This window comes from Homo sapiens, chromosome 11, assembly GCF_000001405.40.
Source record: "Homo sapiens chromosome 11, GRCh38.p14 Primary Assembly".
In the NCBI taxonomy this organism is placed as follows: Eukaryota; Metazoa; Chordata; class Mammalia; order Primates; family Hominidae; genus Homo; species Homo sapiens.
In genome coordinates this window covers 417,886-442,427 of record NC_000011.10, presented here as the reverse complement: position 1 = coordinate 442,427, position 24,542 = coordinate 417,886, and the positions used below count along the sequence as shown (strand labels likewise).

The 24,542-nt window shown below is 59.6% G+C and overlaps 1 protein-coding gene, 1 long non-coding RNA gene and 1 pseudogene across 5 annotated transcripts, besides 7 other annotated features; 2 read left to right on the top strand and 1 right to left on the bottom strand.

The window, feature by feature from the left end:
- Window positions 124-393: an enhancer, noted in NCBI's record as "active region_4274". NCBI's record gives its function as "activates an Ori minimal core promoter by ATAC-STARR-seq in GM12878 lymphoblastoid cells {active_cell/tissue: GM12878}" and the evidence as "EXISTENCE:reporter gene assay evidence [ECO:0000049][PMID:35858748]".
- Window positions 124-519: a biological region, named in NCBI's record as "Sharpr-MPRA regulatory region 223".
- Window positions 225-519: a silencer, noted in NCBI's record as "tiled region #223; HepG2 Repressive DNase unmatched - State 4:PromP". NCBI's record gives its function as "represses a minimal TATA promoter and a strong SV40 promoter by Sharpr-MPRA in HepG2 cells {active_cell/tissue: HepG2}" and the evidence as "EXISTENCE:reporter gene assay evidence [ECO:0000049][PMID:27701403]".
- ANO9 (anoctamin 9) lies at window positions 417-24,490 on the top strand. Of its 2 annotated transcripts, NM_001012302.3 has the most exons (23): window positions 417-507; window positions 8,330-8,404; window positions 8,491-8,613; window positions 8,969-9,114; window positions 10,374-10,429; window positions 10,522-10,580; window positions 10,661-10,734; window positions 12,025-12,159; window positions 12,249-12,345; window positions 12,610-12,670; window positions 12,776-12,858; window positions 13,602-13,706; window positions 13,789-13,953; window positions 14,034-14,070; window positions 14,229-14,340; window positions 21,230-21,287; window positions 21,386-21,483; window positions 21,568-21,710; window positions 21,813-21,965; window positions 22,699-22,846; window positions 23,439-23,540; window positions 23,615-23,708; window positions 23,839-24,490. In NM_001012302.3, exons 1-23 carry the CDS (start codon window positions 502-504, stop codon window positions 24,055-24,057), a joined length of 2,349 nt encoding a protein of 782 aa, NP_001012302.2. In that variant the 5' UTR covers window positions 417-501; the 3' UTR covers window positions 24,058-24,490. The 2 variants fall into 2 exon arrangements, with proteins under 2 accessions (NP_001012302.2, NP_001334811.1); NM_001347882.2 differs by having other exon boundaries at window positions 10,522-10,734.
- Window positions 564-643: a silencer, noted in NCBI's record as "silent region_3005". NCBI's record gives its function as "represses an Ori minimal core promoter by ATAC-STARR-seq in GM12878 lymphoblastoid cells {active_cell/tissue: GM12878}" and the evidence as "EXISTENCE:reporter gene assay evidence [ECO:0000049][PMID:35858748]".
- Window positions 1,735-2,029, top strand: RN7SL838P (RNA, 7SL, cytoplasmic 838, pseudogene; annotated as a pseudogene).
- On the bottom strand, window positions 1,755-10,604 carry LOC105376506 (uncharacterized). Of its 3 annotated transcripts, none has more exons than XR_007062542.1 (5): window positions 9,827-10,604; window positions 7,405-8,215; window positions 3,677-5,329; window positions 2,448-2,529; window positions 1,755-1,943 (listed from the first exon to the last, which is right to left on the bottom strand). It is a non-coding gene; the product is annotated as an uncharacterized LOC105376506 (long non-coding RNA). The 3 variants fall into 3 exon arrangements; XR_007062541.1 differs by lacking the exon at window positions 9,827-10,604 and having other exon boundaries at window positions 3,677-3,833; window positions 5,218-5,329; window positions 7,405-8,436; XR_001748090.2 differs by lacking the exons at window positions 2,448-2,529; window positions 9,827-10,604 and having other exon boundaries at window positions 1,755-1,893; window positions 7,405-8,436.
- Window positions 7,808-8,326: an enhancer, noted in NCBI's record as "H3K4me1 hESC enhancer chr11:434102-434620 (GRCh37/hg19 assembly coordinates)". NCBI's record gives its function as "activates a minimal SCP1, AML or CMV promoter by ChIP-STARR-seq in naive H9 embryonic stem cells {active_cell/tissue: H9 hESC(naive)}" and the evidence as "EXISTENCE:reporter gene assay evidence [ECO:0000049][PMID:30033119]".
- Window positions 12,683-13,882: an enhancer, noted in NCBI's record as "CDK7 strongly-dependent group 2 enhancer chr11:428546-429745 (GRCh37/hg19 assembly coordinates)". NCBI's record gives its function as "activates an origin of replication core promoter dependent on BRD2, BRD4, P300/CBP, MED14 and CDK7 cofactors, with strong dependence on CDK7, by STARR-seq in HCT116 cells {active_cell/tissue: HCT116}" and the evidence as "EXISTENCE:reporter gene assay evidence [ECO:0000049][PMID:35650434]".
- Window positions 20,697-21,558: an enhancer, noted in NCBI's record as "H3K27ac-H3K4me1 hESC enhancer chr11:420870-421731 (GRCh37/hg19 assembly coordinates)". NCBI's record gives its function as "activates a minimal SCP1, AML or CMV promoter by ChIP-STARR-seq in naive H9 embryonic stem cells {active_cell/tissue: H9 hESC(naive)}" and the evidence as "EXISTENCE:reporter gene assay evidence [ECO:0000049][PMID:30033119]".

Sequence of the window (24,542 nt, the reverse complement as noted above, 5' to 3'; positions counted from 1 at the left end):
AGGCCGTGGCCCGGGGTGGGGGAGGCCGTGGCCCGGGGTGGGGGGCCGTGGCCCGGGGTGGGGGGCATGGCCTGGGGTGGGATGCTTTTGGAGGGAACATGGGGATGTGTGAGCGGGGGTGAGAGAGGCAAGGCAAGTGGGGGCGTTGGTGCTGGCTCTGTCAGGGGCTCTGTGCCATCCTGCTTCCCCCTAGGACCAGGTGTCATGAGACCCATCTCACAGTGGAAACCCCCTTCCCGGGAACTCCAGCCTAGGAATTCCCCTCTGGCCCCTGACCCGCCATCTGGGCTCCAGGAAGGTGTCCCAGGCTCCAGGGGCTGGGGTACTCTCCTGGCCTGGATGCTGGCTCCGCCCCGACTACACCCAGGCGCGGCAGCTGCAGGACGCTGGAGGAGGAGGAGGGAGGGGCGAGCCCCACGCGGAAGTCAGGTAGGAGCACCCGCCGCTGGCAGCCACTCTCCTGGCCGCCAAACCCCAGCTGGAACTCCGGCCACAGCCAGCATGCAGGTGAGTCCTGCGCTCAAAAGGGTCCACACCTTCAAGGCCCCCAGCCACGCCCACACCTGGGGCCCCCGGCCCCAGCCCCCCGCCAGCCCCACCTGGAAGGCGCCTGTGTGTGTGGGGGGGGTCCCTGCAGGCTGCCCGGTCAGGCGAGGGTGACCGCCCGGCTCAGCTAAGCTGCCTCCTGGACTCCTGGGGCACGCTGGGGGTTGGAAGTGCTGGAGGCGGGCGGCGTTCCTCCCTCCAGCCCGGGATTCTGAGGGCACCAGGGCTGGGCTCTCAGCTAGTGTGTGGGGCCAGGAACCTCTACCAGAGTCCTGAACACGAGATGGAGAGGGCCTGCCCACCGAGGCGGGGGCTGCTGCTGAGGACCCCAGACCTGGCAGCTTTGCCTTGCAGCTGGCCCCTAAGGGGGAGCGGGCTGTGGGCACCAGGCAGGCTGCCCCAGGGTTGGGAGCTGCAGAGTGGCCGGCGGGCTGTGGGCTCTCTGCTCCCCAAGGACCCCGCCCAGCACAGGTGGGGGCCGACTGCTGCTGCTGGATTCCGATTCTGGGGGTGGGCGCTGACTGCTGCTGCTGGATTCCGATTCTGGGGGAGGGAGTGCAGGTGAACACGTAGAAAGACATCCTTTCTCCCCTCTGCCAGTGAAGAGGTCACCTGGGGCCAGGGCCAACACCTGGGCAGGTCAGCACCTGGTCGGCCCAGGGAGGAGGCAGTGGTGAGGTGTGGAGTGAAACCAGCCTCCCTCTCGGCCTGCCAGGGCCTCCACGTGTGGGCTGCGCCGGCGGCCTCTTGCTCCATCTCCGCCCAGGGCTCTCCTCGGCCCTCCACATCCAGGTCTGACACCCTGGCTGCTCAGCCCAGCACCTGATGCCCCTTAGCCTGAGCTCAGGGTCCCCTCTGCCAGCCCCTTCCTCCCATGCTGGGGGTTAGAGGAGAGACTTGGGGCTGGCCAGGGGTTGGGTTGGGAGAAGCAGCACCTGGTTTGTTGGAAGTGAGAGCATCAGTCCTTCAAAAAAGACAGTTGCAGCCGGGCCTGGTGGCGCATGCCTGTGGTCCCGGCTACTCCGGAAGCTGAGGCAAGAGGATTGCTTGAACCCGGGCGTCGTGGCATGCACCTGCAGTCTCAGCTACTCAGGAGGCTGAGGCAGGAGGACTGCTCGAACCCGGGCGTGGTGGCGCGTGCCTGCGCTCCCAGCTACTCGGGAGGCTGAGGCAGGAGGACTGCTGGAACCCGGGCGTGGTGGCATGAGCCTGCGGTCCCAGCTACTCCGGAGGCTGAGGCAGGAGGGTTGCTCGAGCCTGGGAGTTCTGGGCTGTAGTGTGTTAGGCTGACTGGCTGTCCGCACATCAGTATGGTGACCTCCCAGGAGCAGGGGACCACCAAGTTGCCTAAGGAGGGGTGAACCGGTCCAGGTCGGAAACGGAGCAGGTCAAAACTCCTGTGGTGATCAAAAAGGACAGTTGCAGACATGGGGAGGACTTGCTAGTCCCAGCTCCAGGCTGGATCTGGGCGTGCCTTTCCTCTGCTCTAACCCCTTCCATGGCTCCCCACTGCCCCCTGCTGAAGTCCAAGCTCTCCATTTGGCCAAGAAGCCTAGCAGCCTCCCCTGATTGGCCTCTGCCAACCTCCAGCCTCCCCTTCTGGCAGCTCCCTTCTTGCCCTTTATGCTTCTGCAAAGCTGAAGTACCAAGGACTGAGTCCCTGGACTCAGTTTCCGTAGGTGCCGAGTGCTGAGTCACCAGGAGTAGTAGCTACCAAGTCCTCCTTGGAGGTGCTGAGTGCTGAGTCCCTGGGAGGTGCTGACTGCTGAGTCCCAGACACCAACTGCACCCTGATTCTCAGGGCGTGCCCACACATGTTCTTTCTCCCGGGAATGCTGCCCCCATTTTCTCACCTTTTGCCAACCTCTTGCCCTACAATGCCAAGCTCCATGCCTCCTCACCTGCCAAGTAGGCCCCCGCCCCTGCGTCCACGAACGCCACGCACTGCCTGGGAGGGCTGCACGCAGGTCGCTCCGTCAGTGTCTGGGGATGGACGGGCACACGGATGGGTGAACTGACAGATGACAGACTGGACAGCTGGAGGGGCCGGGGGGTGGGCAGAAGACTGGCTTCAGGAGCGCAGAGCCAGCTGGGGAGGGTTTGCTCAGAGGATGCGTGGGCTGGGCAGAGGCGAGACGCTGTGGCTCACAAGGTGGGCCTCTCCATGCTTGGGACTGCGGTGGGGCAGAAGGGGACCCTCTGTGGATGACGAAACTGTAAAGTTCTCAAGGGCCAGATCCCAGAGGGCTCAGGGCACCGGCCAAGAGGCTTGACGTGACCTCAGGAGGAGATGAGGCCCAAACACCTTCCCATGCACAGCTGGGGGGATGTGCGTCGTGGGACCCCCTGGCCAGGCCTGCTCCTTCTCATGCACAGCTGGGGGGATGTGCGTCATGGGACCCCCTGGCCAGGCCTCTCAGGAGTAGGGTGGGGTCATATCTGCACAACCATCTCCTCTGCCTGCCCCCAACCTGGAGGCTGGACTGGGAAGAGGATGGATGGGCAGGACCCCCAGCTCTGTCCTCACACTCCAGCCCTTGGGAGGGAGGGTCTCCTGCAGGCTACAGTGTCTCCAGAAGCTTCCTCACTGGGAACCAGGGGCTTGCCCACTGGACGCTGGCCTATGCCCACAATGGGGGTGCCAAGAGCCCCCCACAAACTCCCTGGGGCCCTGGAGTACTGGGTGTGTCACCTGTGAGGGCTGTGGGACAGGAAGGATGGGGGAGAACAGTGTGTGGTTCTGTCCACCTTCTTCCTGTGTCTGCACGTCGCTGAGGTGACCTGGGGGCTGGGGTGAGGACACCCTGTTGTACAGACGAGGAAACTGAGGCCTGGGGTGTTTCGGTGGCGTCAGAGCTAGGGCCTGGCCGGCTGTCCACCCAGAGCCGGCCTCCCTCTCTGGGTTTGCAGATGGCAAGGCTGGCTGAAGCTTCAGAGGCCCTCAGACTGAGTGTGTAGGGACAGCCCCTGTCCCTACCCTGGGAGCTGGAAGCCTGTGGGCCCATACATAGTTTCCCGGAGGTGGGGCCCATGGACTGGGGACATGGGGGTCCCAGACATCTCACTGTGGATAAACCGAACAGTCTGCATGGCTGGAAGTGGAGGTGACTTCAGGTGGTCCAGCCCTCACCTGTGAAGACCCCGAGGGTGGTGTGGAGAAGCCAGGCTCCCGTGGTCCGTAAACACTGGCCCTGGAGACGGATGGACAGATGGATGGCCTGGTCCTGTAGGCTGGTGGCTGTGGCCCGGGGGATGGGCCGGTGGGTGTGGCTCCGTAAACACTGGCCCTGGAGACGGATGGACAGATGGACGGCCCGGTCCTGGAGGCTGGTGGGCCCAGTGTTCTGCAGCAGAGTCTCGGAGCCTGAGGCCTGTCTGGCTGTGTGTGTTGGGGGGGCTACACCTGCCTGGCTGTGTGTGTCAGGGGGTGGCTACACCTGTCTGGCTGTGTGTGTCAGGGGGGCTACACCTATCTGGCTGTGTGAGTCGGGGGGGGGCTACACCTGTCTGGCTGTGTGTGTTGGGGGGACTCCACCTGTCTGGCTGTGTGTGTCGGCGGGGGCTACACCTGGCAGCCCTAGTGCTTCTGCCTTGTCCGAGGGAGCAGCTAAGGGCAGCCAGGGGCTGGCACGCCCCAGGTGTGCGTGTAGCTCTGCCCTGGGGGGAGGGCTCCCTGTCAGCCCACGTCAGTGATGGGGGCTTTGCACCCCATTCCCCAGGGGAGGCTGATCCTGCTGTTTGCAGAGGCGTGGGGTCATCACCCCAGTGCTGCACGGTGTCTTTGGTGGGGAGGGGGTTTCTGTGCCTCATTTCTGGGGTGAACGATGGCTTCCCACCCCCACCTTTGAGAATGTTCCCCAGGGACAGTCCCCTCTCCCAGGCTTCTCCGAAAGTCCTGCCTGGTCTGGGGTCCCTGCCTCGTCCCTTCCTTCTCAGGGGTCTGGGCTTATCCTGCCGGCTTTCAACTTTCGGCCCAGGCTGATGTGAGGGGGTCTCTAATTTCAGCCTCTGCCAGAGGAGCTGGGGTTCTGGGCAGAGGAGGGACCCTCATCCTGGGTCTGAAGCCAGGCATGTGAGGGGCCATTCTCCCATGAATCCCTCCAACACAACACTTCCCGGGCCCCTACGGAGGCAAGCTGCAGAGCTGGAGCCGTGATGCCCACGTCCCCCAGACCACCAGTCCCCCCCAGGGAGGCTGCCCTCTGCGCTGAGACAGAGGTGCCTCTCCTGCCTGGGCAGGTGCCACGCCCCTTCCTGCATATCTGTCGGAGGATGAAGGTTTCTCCTCTAACCCAGGACGGGGGAGAAGTTTCAGTGTGGCAGGCCACGCCTGAGTGCAGGTATCTGTCCGTGGGCTGTCGGGAAGGCCAAGGAGGGAGTCAGAGGAAGGGTTGATTGAGGCAGGAAGAACTACTGGTCTAGGATAGGACAGAAGGGCCAGGTGAGCCCCGTGGGCCAACTAGGGCAAGAACTTCCCCCCGCAGGGAGGCTGCAGTGTGGCACTGGGTGCTCAGATGGTGTCTACCTGAGCCCATCTCCCTGTGACCGGGGCGTCGGATGCCTTAGTGCAGTGCTCCCCAACCTTTTCAGCACCAGGGACCAGTTTCGCAGAAGACAATTTTCCCACAGCTGTGGGTGTGGTGGGATGGTTTTGGGATGAAATCGTCTCACCTCAGATCATCAGGCATTAGATTCTCATAAGGAGCAGCCGAGATCCCTGCATGCGCAGTGCACAATGGGGTTCTTCCTCCTCCTCCTGTGAGGATCTAATGCCGCCGCTGATCTGATGGGACATGGAGCCCAGGTGGGAACATTCACCCCCAGCTCACCCCCCACGCACCCCCCGCTCACCCCCCGCTCATCTCCAGCTCACTCCCCGCTCACCTCCCGCTCACCCACTGCTCACCCCCTGCTCACCCCCTGCTCACCCCCTGCTCACCCCCTGCTCACCTCCTGCTCACCCCCCGCTCACCCCCTGCTCACCTCCTGCTTACCCCCTGCTCACCCCCTGCTCACCCCCAGCTCACTCCCCGCTCACCCCCAGCTCACTCCCTGCTCACCCTCTGCTCACCTCCTGCTCACCCCCAGCTCACCCCCAGCTCACCCCCTGCTCACCCCCTGCTTACCCCCTGCTCACCCCCTGCTCACCCCCAGCTCACCCCCTGCTCACCCCCTGCTTACCCCCTGCTCACCTCCTGCTCACTCCCTGCTCACTCCCTGCTCACCCCCTGCTCACCTCCTGCTCACTCCCTGCTCACTCCCTGCTCACCCCTGCTCTGTGGCCCGGTTCCTAACTGGCCAAGGACTGGTACTAGCCGTGGACCAACCCCCTGCCTGAGAGCCTTCTGTTCTGTGGTTGGTTGGATGCATTTCCTGGCTTCTGTGGTTGAGACGGTAGAGAGAATAGGGAGATCTGTCCCAGAACCCGTAGCTCCTGGTGTGTGTGTGTGGGGTGGGGGCTGGAGGCCAGACCTGGACTAGGGTTGCAGACTTAGCAAAACAAAATAAGAAACAGGGCCGGGCGTGGTGGCTCACACCTGTAATCCCAGCACTTTGGGAGGCCGAGGCGGGTGGATCACCCGAGGTCGGGAGTTCGAGACCAGCCTGCCCAACATGGAGAAACCCTGTCTCTACTAAAAATACAAAATCAGCTGGGCGTGGTGGCGCATGCCTGTAATCCCAGCTACGCGGGAGGCTGAGGCAGGAGAATCGCTTGAACCTGGGAGGTGGAGGTTACAGTGAGCTGAGATTGTACCACTGCACTCCAGCCTAGGCATCACGAGGAAAACTCTGTCTCAAAAAAAAAAAAAAAAAAAAAGGAAAGAAAAGAAAAAAAAAAGAAACAGACACCCAGTCAAGCTGAATGTCACAATGTCACATAAACAACATTTTTGGTGTAGGCGTGTCCCATGCAATCACTGGGGCATCTATGCTATACTATGCTATGCTATACTAGACTAGACTAGACCATACTAGACCATACTAGACTATACCATATTATGCTATACTATGCTATACTAGACTAGACTAGACTAGACTAGACTATACCGTATTATGTTATGCTATGCTATACTATGCTATCCTATGCTATACTAGACTAGACTAGACTACACCATACTAGACTAGACTATACTAGACTATACCATATTATGCTATGCTATGCTATCCTATGCTATACTAGACTAGACTAGACTAGACCATACTAGACTAGACTAGACTAGACCATACTAGACTAGACTAGACTAGACCATACTAGACTAGACTATACTAGACTATACCATATTATGCTATGCTATGCTATACTATGCTATACTAGACTAGACTAGACTAGACCATACTAGACTAGACTAGACTAGACCATACTAGACTAGACTAGACTATACTAGACTATACCGTATTATGTTATGCTATGCTATACTATGCTATCCTATGCTATACTAGACTAGACTAGACTACACCATACTAGACTAGACTATACTAGACTATACCATATTATGCTATGCTATGATATCCTATGCTATACTAGACCAGACTAGACTAGACTAGACCATACTATACCATACTACCCTATACTATGCTATGCTATGCTATGCTAGACTAGACTAGACTAGACTAGACTATACCATACTAGACTATACCATACTATACCATACTACCCTATGCTACCCTATGCTATACTATGCTATGCTATCCTATGCTATACTAGACCAAACTAGACTAGACTAGACTATACCATACTATACCCTACTACACTATGCTATGCTATGCTATCCTATACTACACTACACTACACTACAATACTATATCCTTCTGCTGTTTATCTGGAAATCAGGTGTGACTGGGTGGCCTCTATTTTACCTGGCAGCCCTCAAGGGCCAACTGGCTCAAGCAGTCAAGTGAGACTTTCTGGAGGAGGCAGGTCTTGAGCTTGGCGAGGATGCGGCTGGCAGAGGGGAGGGACTCAGGTGCAGGGACCAGGTGTGACGCAGCCAGAGACAGCTTGGAGACTGCCTCAGTAATTAACAAATATCAGGGGATGCTCTGAGGCCCTGCAAATTCCCCTCCTCCGGAAGGTTCTGGCCCCAGACTCTCGTGTCCCTGTGTCTGCTGGGATGTGCCTGCGCCCGTCACCCTGCAGGAGCCCCGTGCACTGTGCCTGCGGGCACTCACCTTGCCTGCTGCAGGATCCTCCCTGTGAGGGGGCGGCATGATGCATGGTGTCCATCTGCCCAGCCCCCAGGGACCTGATGTGAAATGGGGCCGCCGCGAGTGCCCTCGTCTGCACCTCCAGGGGTGGACGGGCTAGGCCAGGGGTTGGGAGCGTTCAATTTTAAAAACAGTCCAACAGGTTTCCAAACCCGTGCTCTGATACGCGCAGCACTGGGAGTGTGCAGGGGCGCCTGTGGCTTCTCCCGTGCATTGGTCTCCTGGTCCTCTGACCTGCGTTTCCTTGGCTGTTCTGGAGTTCCCGTCGCTTCCCCTGTGGGCTGCTCAGCGTGCTCCTCTTCTGTGCAATCCCGTTGGCCTCTGTGGGCTGCGTCTTCCCTTTTGCATTTGTAGGAGCCCCTCACGCGCTTCTGTTTCCACAGTCCTTCGTCGGTTGTTTGTAGCAGGCCCTCTGGCCTGTCACCCGCCTACAGCCATCTCCTCGGGACTCTTTGCTGTTCTCCTTGTGGGGAGGGACGGTGTGTGACCATGTGGTCCGCTGCAGGGACCCGCCAATGAGGGGCATCTAGCCCCCAATCACATCCTCCTATCCCTTTCTCTGCCCCCAAACCCCCAGGGCGAAGAGAGCCTCCGGATCCTGGTGGAGCCCGAAGGGGACAGCTTCCCGCTGATGGAGATCAGCACCTGTGAGGTGGGTGTCCGGGGGCCCCTCCCGGGCCCCACCTGGCCCTGCTCTGCCCCTTCACCTGCGCCTGGCCCCATGCCTCCTCCCTGCAGACCGAGGCCTCCGAGCAGTGGGACTATGTCCTCGTGGCCCAACGTCACACCCAGAGAGACCCCCGGCAGGCGCGGCAGCAACAGTTCCTGGAGGAGCTCAGGAGAAAGGGCTTCCACATTAAGGTGGGCGGGTGCCCAGCGAGGGGCAGGGCCATGGGGCCGGGGCGGGTGTCCAGCGAGGGGCAGGGCCATGGGGCTGGGGCGGGTGCCCAGCGAGGGGCAGGGCTGTGGGGCCGGTCATGGCGGCACGGAGGGCCAGGCTTGGAGGCTCTCTCCTGGGCTGGAGGATTGGGGAGAAGCAGGGGCGTGGGGAGCGAGGCAGCTCCGTGGCTCTGGGCCACAGCGGCAGATGAAGGGAGGGTTCTGAGGCGGAATAGAGGGGGGAGGGTTCTGAGGTGGAATAGAGGGGGGAGGGTTCTGAGGCGGGATAGAGCGGGGAGGGTTCTGAGGTGGGATAGAGGATCCCATGTGCCCCCAGGTGATCCGGGACCAGAAACAGGTCTTCTTTGGGATCCGTGCTGACAACAGTGTCTTTGGCCTGTACCGCACTCTCCTCCTGGAGCCTGAGGGGCCTGCCCCCCACGCCGAGCTGGCCGCGCCGACCACCATCCCGGTCACCACGAGGTGAGAGGCTGCACCCAGAGCCGTGGCCAGGAGAACCCCTTGCCACCTGTGTGATTGGTCCAGACCGGGCAGGAGACAGTGCCAGGCTCCAGGCGTCGCCAAGGCAGGACAGCCGTGTGGTCTCAGGGCAGGGGCCACAGGTGTGAGACCCACTGGCTGTGTGAGCCTCAGCTTCCCCATCCCATTAAAGGATCACGGTGGTTCTCAACGCTCAGAGCATTCTGAGGGCTCCGTGTGGCTGCCTGTGTTCCTGGGGACACAGTCACAGCCAGCCTTAGGGGTTGGGCAGGATTTGCAGAGGCCCAGGGGCCCCTCCTGGATCAAGGCCAGTGTCTCTTGAAGACCCCTCCTCTCCAGTTCCGATGCCCCTTCCTGGACACCGTCCCTGGCCTCCAAGGCAAAGACCCAGAGGCCCAGCAGGGACACCCTCCTCGCTCCCTAAGGCCCTGCTTCTCCCCAGTCCTCCAGCCCAGGAGGGAGCCTCCAAGCCTGGCCCTCCATGCCCCCATGACCTGCCCAGCCCCATCCAGGCCCCGCAGGGCTCAGCCAGGGCCTGCTTGGTGGACCGGCCAAGGACACTCCTGGCATTGGTTACGAGGCAGTGGAGGGCACCCGTGAAGAGAGCTATGGGTCTTGGGGAGTCGCGAGGCGGCATCAAAGGAGGGGAGGTGGCTTGAGGGGGCTGACGGGAGCAGGCTTGGGGGGCGCATACCTGCGACGTGCCCTGGGGTGTCCAGGAGCCATGTCTGTAGGCACAGGGGGAGGCTGGGAGCCCGGCTCTGCCGTCGGACGCTTGGCTGTGCCGCTTCATGGCTGTGTGGCCTTGGGACGTTCCCTTTCCTGAGCCCCAGTCTCTGCTCTGCACAGTGGAACAGAACAGCTCCAGGGTATAAGGAGGGTGTGTGCGGATGCAGGCTGGGGTGTGCTCTGGACACATGGGGCCCGCAGGTGGGAGGTGTGGTTGCAGGTGCGGGCTGTGGTCTGGGCTTCTGGGAGGGACGGGCTGGGAGGAGAAGGAGCCCCCAGCCCAGCCTCATCCTGGACGCCGTGGGGCAGGCCAGGCCCTGGGAGCACTTTAAGGAGGGTGCGGGGTGGGCTCCCGGGTGAGTTGTGGATTCTGGGCTCTGGTCAGGGCTGGCAGGCTGGGGGCTCTGCCAGGACAGGGAGGGGCCTGGGCCTGGCCAGACCAGAGGGCAGGTTGAGACCTGGAGGCAGGGTCCACTGTGGTCACACGGGGCCACCCTGCTCTGGCTCTTGAGTCTCAGAATCCGAATCGTGAACTTCGTTGTCATGAACAACAAGACCTCGGCTGGTGGTAAGGGCAGGGGTGGGGCACTGACAGGGGCGCTGCGGGCAGGGTTCTCCCAGCACCTCACTCCCCCTGACTCGTGAACCCCTGTGACCCAGAGACCTTCGAGGATCTGATGAAGGACGGGGTCTTTGAGGCCAGGTTCCCCCTGCACAAGGTGAGGGGTGGGCTGGCCTGGAGAGGGCCCTGGGGTGGGACCCTGGGATGGGGGCTCTCACTCTCTGTCACCCGAGCCAGGGGGAGGGACGCCTGAAGAAGACGTGGGCGCGGTGGAGACACATGTTCCGGGAGCAGCCAGTTGATGAAATCAGGTAACGCTGCCCAAAGAGAGCACAGGAACCCCGCGGACGGCCCCGCCTCCTGCGGACGCCCCCAGATACCCGCGGACGCCCCCACACCCCCGCGGAAGCCCCCAGATACCCGCGGGAGCCCCCACACCCCCGCAGACGCCCCCAGATACCCACGGGAGCCCCCACACCCCCGCGGAAGCCCCCAGATACCCGCGGGAGCCCCCACACCCCTGCAGACGCCCCCAGATACCCGCGGGAGCCCCCACACCCCCGCAGACGCCCCCAGATACCCGCGGACGCCCCCACATCCCCGCAGACGCCCCCAGATACCCGCGGGAGCCCCCACACCCCCGCAGACGCCCCCAGATACCCGCGGGAGCCCCCACACCCCCGCAGAAGCCCCCCAGATACCCGCGGACGCCCCCACACCCCCGCGGAAGCCCCCAGATACCCACGGGAGCCCCCACACCCCCGCGGACGCCCCCAGATACCCACGGGAGCCCCCACACCCCTGCGGAAGCCCCCAGATACCCGCGGACGCCCCCACACCCCCGCGGAAGCCCCCAGATACCCGCGGGAGCCCCCACACCCCCGCAGACGCCCCCAGATACCCACGGGAGCCCCCACACCCCCGCGGAAGCCCCCAGATACCCGCGGGAGCCCCCACACCCCCGCAGACGCCCCCAGATACCCGCGGGAGCCCCCACACCCCCGCGGACGCCCCCAGATACCCGCGGGAGCCCCCACACCCCCGCGGACGCCCCTAGATACCGGCGGGAGCCCCCACACCCCCGCGGACGCCCCCAGATACCGGCGGGAGCCCCCACACCCCCGCAGACGCCCCCAGATACCCGCGTGAGCCCCCACACCCCCGCGGAAGCCCCCAGATACCCGCGGACGCCCCCACACCCCCCAGACATCCACACACACCACCCAGAAGCCACCACCTCCTGTAAACGCCCCCACACACCACCCAGAAGATGCTCCCACACTGCCCACACCCTCACAGATGCCCCCACGCCCACAGATGTGCTTCCCATTCAGACTCACTGATGCCACCAAAAGAGAGACCCCCTCCCCCACCCCCCTCCCACCCTGTCCCTCCCCCACTGCCCCCTCCCTCCCCCATCCCTCCCCTGCCTTGCCCTCCCACCCTCATCCCTCCCCGTCCCTCTCCTGTCCCTCCCCCGCCACCCCTTCCCACCCCGTCCCTCCCCCATCCCTCCCCTGCTGCCCCCTCCCACCCCCATCCCTTTCCTGTCCCTCCCCCACCGCCCCCTGACAGCTGGCCTTGACCCCTGCTGCCTGCAGGAACTACTTTGGGGAAAAGGTGGCCCTGTACTTCGTCTGGCTGGGCTGGTACACCTACATGCTGGTGCCGGCCGCCCTGACGGGCCTCTTAGTCTTTCTGAGCGGATTCTCGCTGTTTGAGGCCAGCCAGATCAGGTGGGCCGCAGCAGGGGCCGGGCATGGGGGGCCGGGGTGGGCCCTGCTGCCTGGAGGAGCCGACCCCAGCCTCATCCCTGCCCCTTCAGCAAGGAGATCTGTGAGGCCCACGACATCCTCATGTGTCCCCTCGGCGACCACAGCCGCAGGTACCAGCGGCTCTCGGAAACCTGCACTTTTGCCAAGGTTTGTCGCCTCCGGGTCCACCCCAGGGCCTGCGGAAGATGGGAACGGTGCATCCACCCGAAGCGGGGGAGATCAAGGCCTGGAGCCCTGCAGAGCTGCTCAGCTTTCCCCACAGGGCTGACGGGGAGGCCCAGCCCCAGCCCACCCGCCCATTTCCTCAGCCCACCTGCCCCCTTCCCCGGCTTTCCTGCCTCCCTCCCTGGCTCACCTGCCCCCCTCCCCAGCTCACCCACCTCCTCTCCGGCCCACCTATCACCCCCCCAGCTCACCCACCTCTTTGACAATGATGGCACGGTGGTGTTCGCCATCTTCATGGCTCTCTGGGGTGAGTTGCTGCGGGACGCCTCTGCGGGGCCAGGGGAAGTGCCAGCCCAAGCTCCGAGGTCCACCTGGCGTAGTGCAGTGATGCCCCTCCTTGCCCCCGCCGCAGCCACGGTGTTCCTGGAGATCTGGAAGCGGCAGCGCGCCCGCGTGGTCCTGCACTGGGACCTGTACGTGTGGGACGAGGAACAGGTGAGGTGGAGCTGGCAGCGCAGCTGAGGCCGACCCGAGCAGGGGCTGTTGGCGCCCGATGCCCTGCACGGCCCACATATGCCTGCCGTGTCTGAGGTGTGTGTCCCGAGTCTGTCTCCCCACATGTGGGGCGTGTGTCCTGGTCTGTCCACCTGTGAGGCGTGTCCCTGTGTCTGTCTCCCCACGTGTGGGGTGAGTGTCCCGTGTCTGTCCACCCGTGAGGCGTGTCGCTGTGTCTGTCTCCCCACGTGTGGGGTGCGTGTCCCATGTCTGTCTCCCCATGTGTGGGGTGAGTGTCCCGTGTCTGTCCACCCGTGAGGTGTGTCCCTGTGTCTGTCTCCCCACGTGTGGGGTGAGTGTCCCGTGTCTGTCCACCCGTGAGGCGTGTCCCTGTGTCTGTCTCCCCACGTGTGGGGTGAGTGTCCCGTGTCTGTCCACCCATGAGGCATGTCCCTGTGTCTGTCTCCCCACGTGTGGGATGAGTGTCCCGTGTCTGTCCACCCGTGAGGCGTGTCCCTGTGTCTGTCTCCCCACGTGTGGTGTGAGTGTCCCGTGTCTGTCCACCCGTGAGGCGTGTCCCTGTGTCTGTCTCCCCACGTGTGGGGTGCGTGTCCCGTGTCTGTCTCCCCATGTGTGGGGTGAGTGTCCCGTGTCTGTCCACCCGTGAGGTGTGTCTCTGTGTCTGTCTCCCCACATGTGGGGTGAGTGTCCCTTGTCTGAGGCTTGCCCGGTGCTCTCCCCAGGAGGAAATGGCACTTCAGCTCATTAACTGCCCCGACTACAAGCTCCGGCCATACCAGCACTCCTACCTACGCAGCACCGTCATCCTCGTCCTGACCCTGCTCATGGTACGCAGGGGACACCGCGGTGGGGCTGGAGACCCGGGCTGCATGCCCTCCCCGGCCCCCGCCCACCACAGCTGTCCCGCAGATCTGCCTCATGATCGGCATGGCCCACGTCCTGGTGGTCTACCGCGTCCTGGCCTCCGCGCTCTTCAGCAGCTCGGCCGTGCCCTTCCTGGAGGAGCAGGTGACCACGGCCGTGGTGGTGACCGGGGCTCTGGTGCACTATGTGACCATCATCATCATGACCAAGGTGGGGCCGGGAGCAGGGCAGGCCCGAGCTGGGGGGTCCACCGGAGCCCCAGTGAGCCCATTCGGTGCCCTCCTCCGCAGATCAACAGGTGCGTGGCCCTGAAGCTTTGTGACTTCGGTGAGAGGACTACCCCAGACCCTCTTGGGGGACCCGGCGGGAGGACTCAGGGCTGGGGCCTTGGGGCTGTGGTCAGAGAGCAGGGGAGGGGACCCTTCCTGCTGCCCCAGGGCCTCTCCTATGAGCAGGGAGAGAGGTGAGGGCCGGTCCCATTCCAGAGATGCCCAGGACCTTCTCGGAGCGAGAGAGCAGGTTCACCATCCGCTTCTTCACACTGCAGTTCTTCACCCATTTCTCGTCTCTCATCTACATCGCCTTCATCCTGGGCAGGTAGGGCCGGCGCCAGGCTCCCTCCAACCCAACTCACGAGGGCTTGTTCCACTGCCTTTAAAGTGGCAATGTCCATTCTTTTAATTTTAAAAGTAATTTCTGCTGAGAGCAAGTGGAAATCCAATCTAGAGACATGTGAGCAAAGCCTGCAGTGAGCCCAGCTCCTGAATCCCGGGCCCCGAGGTAGCATCAAGACAGTCTGGTGGCCTCCCAGGCTTTTTCATGCATTTGCAGGCGCATAACAGCACTGGCAGAAATGGCTTTGTCCTGGGAATAACTGCACCTGCTCTTTATGCTGAAAATGCACTTGGTGTCTTCCTGGGTCTGCCTGCCCACACATCCTCGTATACATGTATATATGAGAGAGAGAGAGAGAGAGACAGAGACAGGGTCTTGCTGTCGCCAGGCTGGTGTCCAGTGGCACAATGTTGGCTCACTGCAGTCTTGACCTCCTGGGTCTCCTGAGTAGCTGGGATTACAGGCGTGCACCACCACACCCAGCTAATTTTAATATTTTTTGTAGAAATGGGGTCTCACCGTGTTACCCAGGCTGGTTTCGAATTCCTGGGCTCGAGCGATCCTCCTGCCTCAGTTTCCCAAAGTGTTAGGATTTCAGGCGTGAGCCACTGCACCTGGCCAAAAAAAGGTGCATATGGATTGATGGAGCCAGAAAGACTCATTTCACTAATTAGGAAGGCGAGGTGAGAGGGATGCTGGCTGCAGCTTTACTTTTTTTTTGAGATGGAGTCTCGCTCTGTCGCCCAGGCTGGAGTGCAGTAGCATGATCTTGGCTCGCTACAACCTCTGCTTCCTGGGTTCAAGCAATTCTCCTGCCTCAGCCTCCTGAGTGGCTGGGACCACAGGTGCGCACCACCACACCCAGCTAATTTTTGTATTTTTTGTAGAGAAAGGGTTTCACCATGTTGGCCAGGCTGGTCTCGAGCTCCTGACCTCAGGTGAGCCACCACGTCTGGCCCTGTAGATGCTGGTTCTTGACCCCCATCCGTCTTGGGAAAGGCGTGCACCATGGCTTGCTGTGGGCCACGTCTCTCCTGGTGGGACCTCTCACTCTGGAAGCTCCTGCGGGTGAACCCTGGTCTCCTGTCTGGAGGCAGAAGGACGCTGTCTATGTGCTGGGAGGCCAGCTGGGGTTGGGGAGGACAGTGTGGGGCCTCAGTGTCAATTGGTCCAACCCTGTGTGCTGAGTCCCTGGTTGTTCAAACCCCTAGTGAGCTTCTAGTCCTCCTGAGGGGGTTTTGTGGTCAGGTAGGAAGCCCAGGGACCTTCCAGCTGGGCCTGCATTCCCCTAATCAGTGCCCCCAAGCCACCAGGGGTACCCAAGTCCCGAGGCTTCCTGGGGATCCTGGCAGGGCTGGGTTGCTTCCTGAGTGTCTCCCCCGAAAGCCTGATGTCTTGAGTGGACTTCAGGCCTCTCCAATTCCCTTACACCTCTAAGGTGATGCCTGGTAGTGGGTGTCAGCAGCCTGTCATTTTATTTTTATTTATTTACTTTTAGAGACAGTATCTTGATCCATTGCCCCAGGCTGGAGTACAGTGGTACCATTACAGCTCACTACAGCCTCAAACTCCTGGTTCCAGCAATCCTCCTGCCTCAGCCTCCCGAATAGCTGGGACTACAGGCATGTGCCACCATGCCTGGCTAATTTTTTCTATTTTTTGTAGAGATGGGGTTTTGCCATGTTGCCCAGGCTTGTCTCGAACTCCTGGGCTCAAGCAATCCTCCTGCCTCGGCCTCCCAACGTGCTACGGGATAACAGGTGTGAGCTACCGCACCTGCAGTCTCAAGCAATCCTCCTGCCTTGGTGTCCCCACGTGCTGGGATGACAGGTGTGACCCACTGCACCTGCAGTCGCCATTTTAATTGTGACTTGGGAGTTTGCATTTACATTAACATAGATCCTGCTAAAGAGACCTCCAGAAAGGCTGTGTCAGTGACAAAGCTACCCACAGTGTGTGAAACTATATGTTCCATCTTGAGCTGATGGGCAAAGTCTTTTCATTTTTTAAAAGTGCCTTTAAAAAACTACTGGTGAGGGGCTGGGCGAGGTGGCTCACGCCTGTCATCTCAGCACTTTGGGAGGCCGAGGCACGAGGATCATGAGGTCAAGAGATTGAGAGTATCCTGGCTAACACGGTGAAACCCCATCTCTACTAAAAAAAAATACAAAAAATTAGCCGGGCGTGGTGGCGGGCACCTGTAGTCCCAGCTACTGGGGAGGCTGAGGCAGAATGGTGTGAACCCGGGAGGCAGAGCCTGCAGTGAGCTGAGATCGCGCCACTGCACTCCAGCCTGGGCGACAGAGTGAGACTCCGTCTCAAAAAAAACAAAACAAACAAACAAACAAAAAACAAAAAACAAAAAACTATTGGTGAAGTCTAGCATCTTTCCAGATATTTACTGATCATTGTATTTTTTTTCCTATGAATTGACTGTTCATATTATCGGAGCATTTTTGTTAGGTTATCGTAGCATGAAGGCCAGGCTTCTTTCTTGCTTGCTTTTTTTTTTTTTTAACTGTCAGTTTCTTATAATCATGGTATGTTTTACTTTGCATCATATTTGTAACATTTATTGTACAGCTCTTTGTTTTTCCTGGAGTTTCTTTATCTTTTGTTGTTTTTGATTTTGTCTGCCTTCCAATCCATCTCCTGGGGTTTCTACTTGCCTCTTTTTCTTGAATGTCTTTATCAATTGTATCCAGCCTCTCTGTGGTACATCGTGTATTGCACGGAGTCCCTTTTCTTCCAGAGATCTTCCTTGGGAGCCTTTTCCTCCCGCGCGTCCCGTCTCTCCACGCCGCCTTTTGCTCCCGCGCGTCCCGTCTCTCCACGCCGCCTTTTCCTCCCGCGCGTCCCGTCGCTCCACGCCGCCTTTTCCTCCCGCGCGTCCCGTCTCTCCACGCCGCCTTTTCCTCCCGCGCGTCCCGTCTCTCCACGCCGCCTTTTCCTCCCGCGCGTCCCGTCTCTCCACGCCGCCTTTTCCTCCCGCGCGTCCCGTCTCTCCACGCCGCCTTTTCCTCCCGCGCGTCCCGTCTCTCCACGCCGCCTTTTCCTCCCGCGCGTCCCGTCTCCCCGCCGCCTTTTCCTCCCGCGCGTCCCGTCTCCGCGCCGCCTTTTCCTCCCGCGCGTCCCGTGTCCATGTCTCCTCCTTGTAACATCTGGAGAGATTTCCTTCACTTTGTGCCTTTTTCTCCATCGATTGATTTCTTTGTTTTACGTTTAACAATTAAAGTCTTAATTTCTAAGAGTGTTTTGTTTCCTCTTTATTTTTTATTCACAGCATCCCTTCCGTGTTTTTATGTTCTTGAGGATTTCAATTAGGTTTTCCTTCTCCCTGAGTTCTCATCTGTTCCCTAATTATCTCTTGTTTCCTAAAGGGTCCATTTTTGTTTTTTAATCGTTATTCTCCTCTTACTCCTCTGTGAGTAAATCTCTGTGGTTATTCATTCGTATTAAAGACCAAGGAACTGAATTGATTTTTCTTGATGGATGAGATGGGTCTGTATAATAGTAGCTACATCCATTGCCCACTCACACATTCTATCATTAACTCATTTAATCTGCACAGTAGCCCTATAGGGCAGAGCTTCTCTCATTGCCATTTTACAGAATAGATGACTGAGGACCAGAGAGGTTAAGAAATTATCTCCAGGACACACAGCCAGTGGGTGGCGGAACAGATAAAAACCACAAAGTCTGGCTCTAGAGCTTAGTTCTGTGCCTCTTTGCATGGGGAGGTCTCTCGGAAAACAGCGTGAAAAATCTACCTGGTTTCTCATGTTACACTAGAGCAAATTTTCTTTTTGACAGTATTCCTTTATGGTTCTATTTTTTCATGCCACTCCTCAAGATTAATAAATATGTTCAACTGTGGGCCAGGTGCAGTGGCTTATGCCTGAAATCCCAGCACTTTGGGAGGCTGAGGCAGGCAGATCACCTGAGGTCAGGAGTTCAAGACCAGACTGGCCAACATGAAGAAACCCCGTCTCTACTAGCCAGGCGTGGTGGTGTGAGCCTGTAGTCCCAGCTACTCGGGAGGCTGAGGCACAAGAATCACTTGAACCCAGGAGGCAGAGGTTGCAGTGAACTGAAATCGCACCATTGCGCTCCAGCCTGGGTGACAGAGTGAGGCTCCATCTCAAATGTGTGTGTGTGTGTGTGTGTGTGTGTGTGTGTGTGTGAGTATTCAACTGTGATTTCCTTTAGATGTTTATGATTTCAAAATATTAAACATTTGGCTGAGTGCAGTGGCTCATGCTTGTAATCCCAGCATTTTGGGAGGCCAAGGTAGGAGGATTACTTGAGGCTGGGAGTTCAAGACCAGCCTGGGCAATGTAGTGAGACCCACTGCCCCCAAACCCCCCACCGCACGTCTCTACAAAAAATAGAAAATTAGTTGGGCGTGGTGGTTTGGGCCTGTAGTCCTAGCTACTTGGGAGGCTGAGGTAGGAGGATCGCTGGAGCCTGGGAGGTGGAGGCTATAGTGAGCCATAATCTCACCATTGCACTCCAGCCCGAGTGACAGAGATCCTGTCACAAAAACCCTTAAACCTTCAAATCCCTGACTTGTAAGGAATTTGTTTTGCTGCAAGGGGCAGAGGAAGGAAGGCTGTTTGTTTGTTTTCCAAATGGCACCCAGTTGTCCCCAAACCATTGATTGACTAACCATCCCCATCACCATTCTTAACTTGAAATGCCTTCTTCGTCATACACCAAATTCCATTCTTTGCTTATATATTGTCTTCTCATGGATTCTGACAATTCCAGTACCAGCCCCTTGCTGTGCTGGGTATTATTGCTTTATGCCTTGCTGTAGGGTGGGGCTAGCTGCTGTCCATCACTCTTCTTTTCTACTTTTTTAATGGTTATTTACATATGTTTATTCTTTCAGATGAATGTCAGAATCATTTTGTCAAATTGCCAAAAATTCTGTGAGACTAGCTGGGTGTGGTGGCTCACGCCTGTAATCCCAGCACTTTGGGAGGCCGAGGTGGGCGGATCATGAGGTCAGGAGTTCGAGACCAGCCTGGCCAGCATGGTGAAACCCCGTCTTTACTAAATATACAAAAATTAGCCAGGCGTGGTGGCGCGCACCTGTAATCCCAGCTACTCAGGAGGCTGAGGCAGGAGAATCACTTAAACCCGGAAGGTGGAGGTTGTAGTGAGCCAAGATCATGCCATTGCACTCCAGCCTGGGTGACAGAGCAAGACTCTGTCTGAAAAAAAAAAAAAAAATTCTGTGGGACTTGGCTTAAGATTGTATAAGTAAAATGATACATTATTTCCAAGAAAATCACCATAACAAACGACCACAGCTTAGTGGCTTCAAACAATCAAATTATTACCTCCCAGTTCTGCAGGCCACAAGTCCTAGATGAGTCCCACTGGGTGAAAACTAAGGGGTTAGCAGGGCTGGGCTCCTTCTGGAGGCTCCAGGGGATAATTCACTTTCAGCTTCTCCTTGGTGCACGGCTGCTCCTCCCCCTGCAGAGCTTGCAGCGTGGGGCTGAGTCCTTCTGAGTGAGTCCTGAGTCCTTCTGATTCCTTCTGAGTCAGGCCAGCTCCCAGCTGCTCCCTGTCCCCACAGAGGGACCCTTGTGATTACACCAGAAAAACCCAGATAACCCAAGATAATCTCCCCGTCTTAAAGTCAGCTGATTAGCAGCCTTAATACCATCTGCCTTGTGAGATAAAATTCCTTTGCCAGGTAAGAACGTGGTCACAGGCTCCAAGAATGAGCACGTGGACGTCTTTGCGGCCCATCGCTCTGACTACAAATACATCCTCCGTTTTCTTATGGGAGAACGAGGTTCTCCCTGCAAGTCTTTCATGCTCCTTGGTAGTTTTATAGTTTTCTTCATTTAGGCCCCACAGATGCCTTGTGAGTTTCAGTCTCGTTATGGTATAACTTGTGCTGGTGTCTGCGGGTGACCGATACTTTCTCATGCCATGTTTCCCCGCAGCTTTGCCGCACACGGAAAAGCCAGTTCTGCTGGATGCTCGTTTTGTATCCACTTGAGCACTCGATTGATTTATCCACCCAGGCTTTCAGTTGTTTTATTTTGATTTTCCAGGTACATAATCATGTTTTCTAAAAGAGTCATTTTTTTCTTTGCAAATGTATACTATTTATACTTCATATTTCTCTTGCTTATTTGCAAGGAATTCCAGAACCGTGTTAAATACCAGTTGTCGTGAGCTACAATAGGAATGCTTTTGGGATTTCACCACTGACCATGAGCCTGACTTTTGGTTTAAGATAGTTCATGTATTTCTCATATTATGGAAAGCAGGTGATTTTAAACACAAAATAACCCATCGTGCCGTTTCCACGGGGAGAAACCGAGGCCACTCGTAACAGACACTGTCTGGAGCGTGTGTTGGAGCCTGTGGCCTTGCCTGTGTGTGTGTGTGTGCGCCCACGTGCAGGTGCGGTTCGTCTGGGAGCCTGTGGCCTCCCCTGTGTGGGGGTGTGTGTGTGTGTGCGCGCGCCCACGTGTGGGTGCGGTTCATCTGGGAGCCTGTGGCCTCCCCTGTGTGTGTGTGGGTGTGTGTGCGCCCACGTGCAGGTGCGGTTCGTCTGGGAGCCTGTGGCCTCCCCTGTGTGGGGGTGTGTGTGTGTGTGCGCGCGCCCACGTGTGGGTGCGGTTCATCTGGGAGCCTGTGGCCTCCCCTGTGTGTGTGTGTGTGTGTGTGCGTGCCCACGTGCGGGTGCGGTTCATCTGGGTGTGAGCACCTGTGCCCCGCTCACCTGCAGGGCCTGCCCCGCCTGTTCTGTGTCTTTCCTACCCGCTTCTGTCCTGCTGCACCCACCCTGTCAGAGGCAGGGCGCTGCCCGCAGTGCCCCAGACTTCCCCTTCCTCCCCAGGATCAACGGCCACCCCGGGAAGTCCACGCGCCTGGCGGGCTTGTGGAAGCTGGAAGAGGTCAGTCACCCCCAGGCTTCATGCCCTGTCCCTGAGCCACTGCTCCCCTGACCGTCCCCCAGGACCCCTCCCTGATCTCCTCCTGTCTGGCCCCGCAGTGCCACGCCAGCGGCTGCATGATGGACCTCTTCGTGCAGATGGCCATCATCATGGGCCTGAAGCAGACGCTCAGCAACTGCGTCGAGTACCTGGTCCCGTGAGTGCCGACCCCCGCCCAGCCCCGGGAGCCCCAGGCCCCTCCGCCCCCTGCGCCCTCCCTGCCACGCAGCTCTCCCCGCAGGTGGGTGACCCACAAGTGCCGCTCTCTGCGGGCCTCCGAGTCCGGGCACCTGCCCCGGGACCCCGAGCTCAGGGACTGGCGGCGCAACTACCTTCTGAACCCGGTCAACACCTTCAGCCTGTTCGACGAGTTCATGGAGATGAGTGCGTGGGCGCTGCGGGGCGGGGGTTCGCGGAGACGAATGCGGGGCGGGGGTCCGCGGACATGAGTGCGGGGCGCCGGTGAGCCTGACCCCCACCGCGCAGTGATCCAGTACGGCTTCACCACCATCTTCGTGGCCGCCTTCCCGCTGGCGCCGCTGCTCGCGCTCTTCAGCAACCTCGTGGAGATCCGCCTGGACGCCATCAAGATGGTCTGGTTGCAGCGGCGCCTGGTGCCGCGCAAGGCCAAGGACATCGGTCAGACCGGGCGGGCGCAGGATGGGCGGGAACTGGGCGGCCTCAGGCCTGTGGGCTTCCCGCTGGCCAGGCCGGCTCACCTGGAAAAAATAATCTCTCGGATCTCAGGCCGCAGACAGCCCCCAGCCCTTCTCCGACGGCCTCGGATGCGGGTTGAGCCTGGGTGGGAGGGTACCAGGAGTGGGCGGGGCCGAGCGCTTTGTAGGCTCCTCCCACAAACCGTCAGGATCTCAGAGGGGCTTGACGCCCCCAAGGGGGACCCAGGTTCTGCCAGTGGCTGGGGCTGGAACAGAGCAGCCGGCCTCTGTCCCAAGACTGGCCACGCTGAGACGGACAGGCAGCAGGGGAGCGACGGGAGCTGGGGCGCTGGATGTGGGGAAAGGGAGAGAGGTGTTAGGGAGGCCCCCAGTCTCGGGCCCAGGTTACAAGGTCTTACCCTGGGGTGGGAACCCAGGAGGTGGAGTGGCTGGGGGGCACAGCTGAGAAGTTCAGGAAGATGGAGGATGAGGATTCCCAGGTTCCTCCCTGTCCATGTCAGGGTGAGGGGTGCAGGAGCGCAGAGGCCATGCTCTGCCATGGCTGGGGACTTCCTTGTGAATACTGCAGCCCTAGGGCTGCAAGGGGACACCACGCACAGAGACACGGCAGGCCCCGTGTTGGCCGGGGGTGGGGGTGAGGGCAGAACCAGCCGAGGGACGCTGAGTCAGACCGCTTGCCCACTGCTCTGGTGCAGGGACCTGGCTGCAGGTGCTGGAGACCATCGGTGTGCTGGCGGTCATTGCCAATGGGATGGTCATTGCCTTCACATCTGAGTTCATCCCCCGAGTGGTCTACAAGTACCGCTATAGCCCATGCCTGAAAGAAGGCAACTCTACTGTCGAGTAAGGCCTCAGGGTGTCTGGAGACCCCTGGGAGAAACTGGCCCTACCACAGCCAAGCCCTGGGGGATCCAGACCCTTTCTCCTGGGAATGGCTGGACCTGTTGGTACCCCTGGGGCTTTAGTGAGGCTGGGGCCTGGGGGTGGCCCCTGCCCTGCGCCCACTGACGGCAGGCCCTGGGCTGGAGGTCAGGGATAACTGGCCAGGACCGCAGTTGGGGGTGAAGTTCCCAGACCTGGCTGCCTCCTGAGTAGGCCCTGCCAGAACGGCTCCCTCCCGATGTGAGGTTCCGCATGTCCTCTTCTGATTTATCCAGCTCTCTGACCTCGAGGAGCCACCAAACTGCAGACTGGGTCCCCAGGGCCAGTCTCTGGCAGGGAAAGTGGCTGGTGATGCCCAGAGTCCCCACAGTCCCCACAAGGCCCCCGGATGTGAAGATGTGCTTGGCCCGGGAGCCCCGTCCCACTGGACGCAGTCTGTGGCGTGGCCCCCACCTCACTGTTTGCTCCACAACGCAGGCTAGAAGCACTCTGGGGCCTGAAGGGGCCGCCCTGGAAGCCCACCCCACCCCACACTCCTCTCCCCTCTCCCCAGCTGCCTCAAGGGCTACGTCAACCACAGCCTGTCCGTCTTCCACACCAAGGACTTCCAGGACCCTGATGGGATTGAGGGCTCAGAAAACGTGACTCTGTGCAGGTTTGGAACTCCCCATCCCCCAAGAATGCCCTCTGAACTCCTGACCCCTGACCTCAGGTACTTCCTTACCCCAGATACAGGGACTACCGCAATCCCCCCGATTACAACTTCTCCGAGCAGTTCTGGTTCCTCCTGGCCATCCGCCTGGCCTTCGTCATCCTCTTTGAGGTGAGCCAGAACCGGGAGAGGCCTCGGAGTGGGTCTGGGCAGTGCTCTCCCCAGTCCTTCTCCCCGGCCCTGAACCCCCAAATGCCAGCTGGCACCTGACCGTGCTGGGCCTCTCCTGTGCTGCCGCTAGCACGTGGCCTTGTGCATCAAGCTCATCGCCGCCTGGTTCGTGCCCGACATCCCTCAGTCGGTGAAGAACAAGGTTCTGGAGGTGAAGTACCAGAGGCTGCGTGAGAAGATGTGGCATGGAAGGCAGAGGCTGGGTGGGGTGGGGGCAGGCTCTCGGCCCCCAATGCCTGCCCATCCCACCCCAGCATCCATCTTCAGTGCCAGGAGCACAGACGTGTAGGGCCAGAGCCCGTCCAGAGGCCACCAGGAGCTGAGACAGTGCCACCACCAGCACCTCCCACAAGCCCACCGCTGTGCGTGTTGAGGGGTGCTGTGAGAAGGCTGTGCCCATGTGGGGCCGCAGGAATCCCCTGTATGTTCAGGGCTGTGAGCTGCCACCCTATTCCGCCTGCTCCGTCTTTGTGGGGGCTCTCAGGCTTGGCACAGCCCTGACTTGAACTCTGGGTGACCCTGGGCACCCACAGAACTGGGAGTGAGGGCTCCTCAGGCAGCCACAAGGCAGGAAAACTGGCGCAAATTTCCTGGGCCTCCCTCTGACTTCTGGGCGCCAGATCCTGCCGTGCCCCCATCCTGGCTGTTGGGGGTGTCCTGAGCCCACCTCGCTGGCCTGTTCCCTTCAGCCAACCCGTTTCTGCAGTAAAATTAAGCCTGTCTGTCTTGCTTTCCTGGCCTCGCTGGGTCCCGGGTGGATTATATCTGCCCTCA